The sequence below is a fragment of the Homo sapiens genome, chromosome X, assembly GCF_000001405.40.
Source record: "Homo sapiens chromosome X, GRCh38.p14 Primary Assembly".
NCBI classification, from domain to species: Eukaryota; Metazoa; Chordata; class Mammalia; order Primates; family Hominidae; genus Homo; species Homo sapiens.
In genome coordinates, this window is record NC_000023.11 from 21,151,785 (window position 1) to 21,163,094 (window position 11,310).

Consider the following 11,310-nt stretch of genomic DNA (forward strand, 5'->3'; position numbering starts at 1 on the left):
TGCGGAAAAAAAAAAGTCATTTGAAATTAGCTTTCTTAGAAATCTATTAACCCTTCATTTATGTCTGCTGAACATTCCATATAAAACACAATGCACTGCTGACATAATCTCTGTGCTGTTTTATTCTTTAATGAACAAAAAATAAAACTAAAGGAGAGAAATTATCCGATGGGGTAATATTTGAGAGCACAGTTAACATTTTAATTTCTTTTTGAGCATTGACAAATTTGCCCATATATTGAGGAAGTGGTTCTTAATTAATTCGTTGATTCAGAATGTTATTAAGCCCCAACATGAGCCAGGTACTGTGCTAGGTACTGAGGTATACAGCATTTAAAGACAACCCCCCACTCAAGTAGCATCTAAGCCAGTAGGTAGAGAGAAAAAATAATTATAATACCACATGTGCTACAAGTTAAGAGCAAGCTAAGAACAAGATGCCAGTTTAGGTGATGAGAAAAGGACTTCTTCAGGACTGAAGAAGTAAGAGTAAGGCAGGTAAAGAAAGGGAGAAATGGTATTTCAGCCAAAGGGAACAGTATAAACAAAGGTGCAAACGCTGGAGGATAAATTGCATGTATGGGAGTGGCTAAATTCAGGATGGCCTCCATCATCCAGGATGCTTAAGCTTGCAATTGGTGTGCTTGCCTCAGATTTGCCAAATAACTTATTTGTGATATGGACAAGCATTAGAATAATGTAAAACAAAACACTAAGTAGGATTTCTACTGTCTGCATATACAGATGACTTTAAACTTCATGCACTTGACTACTTCACAGTGGTACTTGTTTGTGAATGCATGTGACAGGAACAGACAAAAAAATTATTTACCTGATAAACCAGTTTTACATTATCAACATGGAGGAGTAAGAATATGTTCTTTAGGAAAATTATTTAGGCAAGACCATTGTCTTAGAGCCATGGTTCTCAAACTTTCGGGTACACCAGAAAAACCTGTAGTCCTTGTTAAAATACAGATTGCTGGGCTCCATCCCCAGAGTTTTTGATTTATCAGATATGAGGTAAGGGCTGAGAGTGTGCATTTCTAACAAGTTCCCAAGTGATGCTGATGCTGCTGCTCTTGGGCCACACTTGGAGAAACACTGGTCTATAGACTTTTTTGAAGATATGGCAGTTACAGAGCTGAAAATATCAAATCACATGAACTCTTATGTGTTAACCATAAATCAGAGTTTAATGCTCCCAAAATAACAGATTGCACCCAAGATGTTTTCTAACTGAAGCCTAGGGCCCTTAATTCTCTAGCCCATTTTAGTCATTCCCCAGCCCCCCACCTTTTTAATTTTGTCCTCTGGGCATCAAAAAGCAATGCGATTTTAATAATTTATTCCCACACTAAAAGCCTTCTTGTTGACGAACACACTCTCTCCTGTACTCTGGTGCTTTCTGAAATATTGTTATGTAAGGAACAAATTATTCCCAAATTTAAGCAGATGTCAACAGCTATTACCCTTGTGAAAGCTGCTTGTGAAAGTGTAGAGAGTGGCTTTAGTGTTTTCTCTTTCCGGTGAAGGGGAAATCAGGCAAAATAAATGTCAGTTTGAGGGTCTAGAAACTGGTGGTTGAATTTAAATAATGAAATAAAATGTCAATACTTTCAGGGGAAATTTGTCTTTTTATAAAAGACTTCCTTTTCTTCCCAAAACATATATGGCATTTTGGCTAAATTAGCTTTAGCTAACATATCCACTGAGCACATTCACATAAACCTTCAAGAAAACCAAGCCTCCGAGTAGCCTCAGGTTTTTTAAATGACAAAATGGTTATGGCGAAAGAAAACATAAGCAGTGAAGCTTCATTTTCACCCAGAAGAGCTTGCTCCCCACTTGCCTTGTTATGAAACCTTGCTGGCTGAGGGAGCCTCTGGGACAATGACTCCACAGTTATTTTAAGTATCAGTGTGGGAGGGATGGGGGATGGAATGGACACAGGGCTGATAAATTCCCTTTCCCCACCCCTGGAGGAGAGGAACTCTGGACAGGATGCTGCCTTATTTACTTGGTGAAAAGCATTTGTGGAATACATTAGATTTGGCCTCTGGCAAAGGGAAAAAAAGAGAACATTAAGTTGAAAATGTTTCCATTTGTTCATATTTTTGAAGCAAAACCACACAGCAAGAAACAGGATATATTTTTAAAAACATTTTTAATGAATATATCGCCATTCATTCATCTCTTTCCTGTTTCAGTGCTCTTGATAAATTGAGCTGAAATAGCTGCATAGCTCTTATCATCTGTGTGAAATTGAGACTGTCAGAGGCATGATCAACAGCAGCCTAAACTAAGCCAAGTTAGAAGCAACAGATTTCACTCTGGGCAATATTTTCTTTTTACCTAGAACAAAATATACTATTTGCAGATTTCTTGATGAGGTGATTTCTCCTAGGAAACTTGTCCATGTCAGAACTTCTTTGACTAGCCGTTTGCACAGGGACTCCTCTCTTCTTTGCTGCCCAGTATACCAGGTCAGGAGTCAGGAGCCCTATACTTCTTTCACGAGGCCCTCCCAGAACATCAAATGAAAGAGGGTCAGAAAAAGGCAAAAACAAGTGTGATAGCCTACCTCTTTAATGTCACAACCCTGACATTTGAATCGTGTGATTTAAATGTAGCCTCATAAATTTTAGATGCAAGCCATAATTACCTAAAGAGTATCATAAGATTATAATACTTAAAGAAAATATCTCTGGCAACAGAGAAAACGTTTGTCAAATGCATAAGCATCAAAAATAAATGAAGTATAAGTGGATTAGTGTGAGTATCCAGGCTATAGAGTTTGAGATAACCCAACACAAAATAATTTTTTCTATTTTTTAATATACTGCAAATTATTCATAACTAATGGCCTTGTAGAATAAATTGTATTGCTATTAAACCATAGTGATAACTACTGTGTTTCATCAATTCTAAGGTGCACTTTATGTTTTTAGAGATTAGGGTCTCACTATGTTGCCCAAGCCGAACTCGAACTCCTGGGCTCAAGCATTCCTCCTGCCTTGGCCTACCAAAGTGTTGGGATTACAGGCATAAGCCACTGTGCCTGGCCTAAGGTGCACTTTTTAAAAAACATTTTTACATCTCTGAAATCAGGATGCATCTTATATCAATGGTCTAATGGTTTTTATTGGCATCATTTTTCTTTGTTAGTAGTACACAAAACAACAATGCATCTTATATTTAATGGTATCTTCTACTTGGTGATATGTGCAATTATCTATGGTAGGAAAGAATTTAGCATGAAGCACTTCAACTAACAAATTATATTTTGAGTCACAAGTGCAAGGCATTGGGTTGAGATGATAAGGAGGCAAAGATAAATATAATGTGTCCCTGATTTCAGAATTAACAGTATAGTAAGGAACCCCATATAAACTACTAAATAAGGGTAAAATGTAGTGCTGTGGAAGCACAGAGGAAGGAGAAATCATCCTGATTAAAGGATCAGGGAAGGTTCATGGAGGAGGTGACTTTTGAGATGAATCTTTAAGGATAAGAACACTTCTATCATGCGCATTCAGTGTGGAGGTATATAGATACAGAAGGTTGAAGGAGTAGAATCCAGCCTAAGGAAAAAGAGAAGCAAACCTATGGAGTATGGAAATTACTTAAGAACTATCAGAAAGTTGTGATATTTACCGAGTAATGAAACCAACTGGCAAGTTCAGTTTGAGTGGATAGAGGGGGTTGGAAGTAGATTGGTTGGGTCACATAGTTTGAGATATTGGTAGGATATTGTAGTGGACATTTGGACATTTGGCATTTTTGAGCACCCACCCCACACTGAATAATTTCTCCATTGTATAAGTTTTGTTGGAAGGTAGAGTCCACTTCCCACTTCCCATTATAGAAGTAAGAAAGGCCAAATACTTGCTTTCCTGCCTTTCTTGCTGCTAGAGTACAGTTGAGAGACCTAGCTTTGGTCAAATAGACAAATCTGCACAACGAAGATTTGAATCTGGAGTTACTTATGCAAAAATGCAAAACCAAGGGAGAATTCTTTTAAAGACAATGGCAGCATCAAGATTCAACGTCCATTAGAAGCTGCAGTCTCCACTGCAGTCTCAGTGGTGGTAGCTGCGTTGTCTTCACAGCACTGGTTCTGCTGAGTGACTTTGACCAAAGTCCCAGCTATGTAACCTCCCTATAGTTTGCTTGTTTTTCAACCTGAACATTTTTCTCTACCTTTCCCAGGGATACTGGAAGATAGCCATTGTATTTTCAATAGTTTGCTTTTCTGTTTAAGAGTCAGTTTCTGTGGTTTGCAAAATAAGAACCCTGGGTGCTACAGACATACACCAGATGTCTGACAAAGACTTGGAAAATGAGCACACAGCACAAGAGGAAAGTTGATCTAGATAATTAGACAGGGGAATCATTTGACTGGGACTGAAAATTAAAGCTAAGGGAGAAAATACAGACATAGGCAGAGAAAAGAGGGAGGAAGGGAATAGCATCATTTTTGTGGGAGAATGAAGCAGGAACACTTAGCATCTGTGGGAGAAAGTAAAGAGCAGTCAGAGAGCCATAGAAAACACATATCCTGAGGGCCTGCTATGTGCTGAGTATTTTACATAAGCTAATTCATTTAATATTTACAAAAACTGAGTTACATATTGCTATCCTGGATTAACACATGAGAAAAATTTGATGCATAGATATTAAATAACTTTCTGAAAGTCACATAAATAATAAGTGGTGTGAACAGAATTCAAACTCAGATTTGTCTGATTCCAACATTACACTGCTTCCCTGTCAGAAGCTTTAGAAAAGGACATAGATGCCAAAGATAAGACCTTAGTTTGGTGGTTCTTAACCCTGGCTGCACATTGTAATAACCTAGGGAGATATAGAAACTGCTAATGCCTAGGTCCCACTCCCAAAGTTTCTGTTTTAACTTGTCTGGGGATTGGGGATTGGGACTTTTAAAAGCTTCCCAAGTAGTTCCAGTGTGTAGCCAAGGTTAAGAGCCATGGTGGTATTTCAGCATAACAGTGAAATGGCTTGAAGAGTGAGTGGGATGTTAGGCTACAGAGGCAGCAAGTGCTCAAGTGGCATATTGACAGGAAACAGTACAGTGAGTGGAAACAGATTTGAGGGATACAAGTTTGATGTGGGTTGAAAAGAGACTTGGAAGTAGACACAGAGAAGGTAAGTATAGACTATTCTCACAGTGAGAGACAGGACTGGCTGGATTTCCTAGGCCGACTAAGAATTCCTAAGCCTAGCTGGGGAAGGTGACCGCACCCAACTTTAAACACAGGGCTTGTAACTCAGCTCACACCCGACCAATCAGGTAGTAAAGAGAGCTCACTAAAATACCAATTAGGCTAAAAGCAGGAGGCAAAGAAATATTCAATCATCTATCGCCTGAGAGCACAGGGGGAGGCACAATGATCAGGATATAAACCCAGGCATTCGAGCTGGCAGTGGCAACCCTCTTTGGGTCCCCTCCTGTTGTATGGGAGCTCTGTTTTCACTCTATTAAATCTTGCAACTGCACACTCTTCTGGTCCATGTTTGTTCCAGCTCAAGCTGAGCTTTCACTCGCTGTACACCACTGCTGTTCGCTGCTGTTGCAGACCCGCAGCTGACTTCCACCTCTTCGGAAAAAATATTTTTGTGTCAGACAGGGCTGAGATATGTGGTGGAAAAGTAGTGAGGGGAACTTGAGGAAAGCAAAAAAGTAGAATTGGAAAAATGTGGGTAAGAAATGGATTAAGGGAGTCAAAACGAAAGAGTAAAATAATGTTCACTTGAGATCATATAAAAAAATTTAAGTGCAATAAATCATCAAGGTTACATGGATTTCTCAAAAAATACTTGTAAGTCTTGAGAAGGTAAGAAAATGCATAATGGAGTTGACCCACAGGTGGAGATCATCCAGGCTGATCAAGTGATGGGTAAGGGAGTGAGGAAATTTGAGGTGCTACTGAGATAACATACAAATGTACATTTGATATCAAAGCAACACTATTTACTTTGACATGAAGTTTAGTGTATTAAAATGTAATAAGCTTCAATACCTCATATGGCACATAAAATATATGAAATCCAAAATTCGTATTGAAATCCAAATGCATTCAGTGACAGATAATGATGACTCTAAAAGAGGAAGAAGTTGTGGTTTCAAATCAAGAAATGATGCAAAGTGATTAGACTAGTGACCAGAGGCCTAAATAATTAACTTGGTAATTGATCTTCCTTCCTTACAGACAGGCCACATTTCAGATACTGGCCAAACATATAGATTACATATAAAATCATTTCATTACAGAATGCTAGTTCTATAGATTATGCCTCTTCTAATTCAATGAAAAAAGGAACAGTTTTTTAAACATTGCTCAAGTTGATGCCTCTGTTCACTTCTCTTAATTCAGATCCCTGAATGCTCTAACTTCCCAACCATTTCTCAAACCTCATTCTAGCCACAGACCACTTCATAGAAGTTTTATTGGTGACACAATTTTTTGAGAATGTTCCTCCAGGCAACCAAGGCATTGAGTTTGGTGCTTTCCGTTCTTTAGAGTACTCTCTTTAGACTCTGAAATTTGGCACAAAAGGTACCCTCTACCTAGAATGTGCTTCCTCCACTCTCATCCCTCACTCCCGCCTCCTTTCTTTGGTCTTTTGATTAGACAACTTGTTCAAGACTCCATTGAAGTATCACTATCCTGGGTAGCCTTTCTCTAGACATATGCTCCCATAATACCCTGATCCTACTTTCTACTCATTCCTTGCATCCCAGCTGTAATTATTTGCCCAGAGTCTGCTGCTCTGCTAAACTATAAGATCTGTAAGGCAAGGACCATGCCTTCCAAGTCATAAGTATTCAATAAATATTTGTTGAGTATTTGAATGAGGGAGTAATTGTAAGTGGAAAATGGATGGTATGGGAGAGAAACTAAGGCAGGAAACCTCACTTAGGAAGCTATCATAGTCAACAGATAAAGCAGACACCTACATTTCTTTCATCCTTTACCATTTTCATACATACCAGCCCCCAATGTGCTTTCCTCTAAACAGCCAGCACCGGCATTTCTGTTGGTCTGAGGGCTTCCAGAGCCTTTCTTTCGCCTGTTCTCATGGAGATCAGGAAGGACCTGTGAATTGACGTCCCTTAGGGGCATTCCTTAGCTAATGACTGACAAGTACAAAACTATAAATACTCCAGCTCCCTTTTCTAATTCAAAAACAGACGAAAGTAAACAATAGATTGCTTAGGGATATGTAAGTTCCAAACTATAAAGAAAAACAAAGAAGTGATTAGACAAAATTCAGGATAGTAGCTATCTCTCTGAGGAGGAGAAGGAGGAGGATGTAAATAGGCAGGTATATGTAAGGGATTCTATGATACTGCTAACATTCCGTTTCTTGAGCTGAGCATATGATGTTCATTTTATTGTTTTTTCAACTGTATATATGTTAGAAGAAGAAGAAGGAAATGGTCCAGTAGGTTGAAAAGGAGACAGCTACAGAAAAAGTTTTCATATAGGAGGAGTATTGAGATGGTTGTAGACCGAAAGCAAAGAACAAAAGCTAAGGGAGAGAGGGTATGATGAGGAGGTAAGTCTAAAGAGAAGTAAAGCAGATTGCACTAGCCTTGGGAAAATATTGCAAGATATATGACACAGCAATCCCATTCCTGTGTCCCAACAGAAATTAATACATGTGTTCACCAAAAGATGTATAAGAGGATGCTTATAGTAGAAATGAAGTTCTGATGCATGCGACATTGATGAATCTTGTAAACATTATCCCAAATGAAATAAGCCAGTCACAAAAGGACAAATATTGTATGATTCCACTTATATAAGGTATATAGAGTAGTCAAATTCATAGAGACAGAAAGCATAATAGAGGTTACCAGGGGCTGGGATGAGAAATGCAGAGTTATTGTTTAAGGGTTACAGAGAGTTTCTGTTTGGGTTGATGAAAAATTTCTGGAAATGAATAGTTGTGAGGGTTGCACAACATTGTGAGGGTGCTTAACGTTGCTGAATTGTACACTTAAAATGGTTAAAATGATAAATTTTGTTATGTATGTTTCACCACAATTTAAAAATTAACTTTAAAAAAGTATGCTTGTAGTCGCACTAGACTTAATATCCTCAACTTGAAACAATTCTAATGTCCATTATCAGTGTAGTGGATAAATAGGCCGGGCGCAGTGGTTCACGCCTGTAATCCCAGCACTTTGGGAGGCCGAGGCGGGTGAATCACGAGGTCGAGAGATCAAGACTATCTTGGCTAACATGGTGAAACCCCGCCTCTACTAAAAATATAAAAAATTAGCCGGGCATGGTGGCGGGCGCCTGCAGTCCCAGCAACTTGGGAGGCTGAGGCAGGAGAATGGCACAAACCCAGAAGGAGGAGCTTGCAGTGAGCCGAGATTGCGCCACTGCACTCCAGCCTGGGCGACAGAGCAAGACTCTGTCTCAAAAAAAAAAACAACAACAACAACAACAAAACAATATATATATATAGTAATACATTCACACAATGGAATACTATATGGCTTTGAAAGTGAGCAAATTAAAACTACACACAGCAACATGGATATATCTCACTGACATAAGTTTGAGTGAAAGAAGCTAGAGGCAAAAGAGGACGTACTGTATGGCTCCACCTACATAAAGTTTCCATATAGGTAAAATTAATCTTTGATAGGTGAGGGGAAATGTGCAACTGGAAGGGAACGTGGGAGGAGGGCTTCTGTGGTGCAGGTAATGTGTGGGTGTTTCCCCTTGTCATCCCTTCTCCAGGATAATCTTCTAAATATTTTAAAGGACTATTTATATGACATGCTCTTCATATCTTTCACAGTCATGAATCTTGCAAAGACAAGGATCATATCCACCTTGTCCACTACACAGCCAAGAGGTAGTTTTTATATATGCCCATCATCTAGCAAAGTGACTGGCACAGAGAAATTACATACTGAATATATGTTGAATGAATGAAATAAGGAAAGAAAGTAATTTGATGTTATCATTTATTATTAGTGGAAGTTCTGGTGATAAGGAATAGAATAGATATTAATAAAAGCAGGCTCTGAGAAAAAGTCTTATACTTACTCACTCCCTCTACCATACCAGAATGCCACAAAAGAGCTCTCCACATTTCTCCTTTGCTAAGATGGAGTTTTGGAGAAGAGAGGAAGGAGGGTGATTTTTCATCTTCTTCATGGTTATCAACATCATATTAAGGATTTACTATTTTCCAGACTTCATTCCAAGTGCATTAAGTAGATTATTTCATCTAATCCTCATAAAAATTCTTTGAGGCAGGTTCTGTTAGCATTTTCCGTGTATACATGAGGAAATTGGGACTTGTAGAAGGTTGATGACAAAGCTAACATCACAGTGATAGTAAGAATGAAAATGGGGATTCCACACTAGGTTTAAGTCTTTGCTTTTAACTCAGAACCATGCTCTTAAACATTTCATTTCCAATCAACTAGAAGGCAGACACCTCAATGTAGTTCCTCTACTCTTGGAGGACTGGCTCAGGTCTACATTAGTTTGCTAGGGCTACCATAACAAAGTACCACAGTCTGGGTGGCTTAAATAGAAATTTATTATTTTTACAATTCTGGAGGCTAGAAATCTGAGATCAAGGTGTTAGCAGGGTTGGTTTCTTCTAAAGACTCTCTCCTTGGCATATGGACAGCCATCTTCTTCCAATATCTTCGGATGGTCTTCCCTTTGTGTATGCCTGGGTCCAAATTTCCTTATCTTATAAGGACACCAGACATACTGGGTCAGGACCCACCCATATGACCTCATTTTACCTTAATTACCTCTTTAAAGGTCCTGTCTCCAAATACAGTCACATTCTGTGGTACTAGGGGTTAGAATTTCAACATATAAACTTTGGGGGGACCCAACTCAGCCCATAACAGGAGCTTTTATTACCTGCACCAAGCAACTAGAAATTTGAGATCACATCTGTACTGACCAGCAAGGATCTGTGAATAAAATTCAAGGGTTTTGTGAACATAAATGAGAGGAAGTCAGATCTTTATTTTCACAAACATTTAAATAAAATTTAGTATTTCCTTTAAACATGAATGCCAGCAACAAACTACACTAGCTGTATCTGTGACTTCATCATCAACAGAAGTCACAGATATTTTCATATCACATTACAGCTGTTGCAGACATCTCAGGGTTTATACTCATCATTACACTGAAATTATGACAGATTACAGATCCACTATTGGATCTGGATTTTTAACACATTAATAAATAAACACTATCTCACTATATCACGAAGTTGTTTCATAATTATTTCCATAACTGTATTTCAATATAATTGGTTTCCTTTGCAATCCTAAATAATTTATTTTACATATTTAAAAACATTATTCTGAGAAAGGGGTTTATAGACTTCATCATATTTCAAAGGGGCTCATGGTACGAAAAGATGTTTTTGAACCCCTGTCTGATGGATCTGACCACAGATGGCAGCCCAATTGAGATGAAAATAAGCCAAGTCATACAAGAAAAGATAAATAACCCATCACGTTGGGTTTAAAGTGTTTAATGCAATTTCTAATTTATTCATAATTTGAGATAAGGGGTCCTCACCGTGTATATTGTGTCTTTCAAAATACTAAACACTAAGATCCATTTTATTTTATGTCATCTCAGGCTTCAATTGTGCCTTCTCTTTCAGGTCCTCAACTTGGGTCCTGCCTTCTTTCTGCCCACCTTGCCCTTAAAGTCCTTGAGTTCTGATTCAGTGCTTTGGATTCATCAGCTAAGTAGTGTCCTTGAGGAAGCAAATGACCCAGGATTTTTCTGAAGAAAATGATGATCTGTTATCTGAGAGAGGGAAGGTACTGAGAGTAATGTGTATGGAGGCCTCTTGGTAGACATGACATTACCTGTTTCACAGCACCTTGAAATTTTTAACCATCACCTATCCCAGAACCCCAACAGCTATTTTTAAGCTCTTAGTGTCCTGCTATCTGTGGAGCAGCAGTGGATCTGGGTTTTGTGGGACTCTGAAGCCTATACACTCTGCGGGCTCTCTTTAAGAAAAAGGTTACAAAATTACAAATACAAAATTAGGCATGGTAACTTGGAAGGGACCAATGCAATTGGTGTCCCTGAAGCTTAAGTTATTTTTGCTTCTTAGTACACCTTCCTTTGTAATAGGGATTGTGATATAATAGAAATAATAACAGAAAGAGCATAATATTTGGAGTTAGGTTTCAAGTCTTAACCTATCACTTGCCAGCCTAGAATACTTACATGGTCAGAGAAACTGGAGATAATGAAGGGT

The 11,310-nt window shown here is 38.5% G+C and overlaps 1 annotated feature.

The window, feature by feature from the left end:
* Positions 6,961–7,479: an enhancer, noted in NCBI's record as "NANOG hESC enhancer chrX:21176863-21177381 (GRCh37/hg19 assembly coordinates)". NCBI's record gives its function as "activates a minimal SCP1, AML or CMV promoter by ChIP-STARR-seq in naive H9 embryonic stem cells {active_cell/tissue: H9 hESC(naive)}" and the evidence as "EXISTENCE:reporter gene assay evidence [ECO:0000049][PMID:30033119]".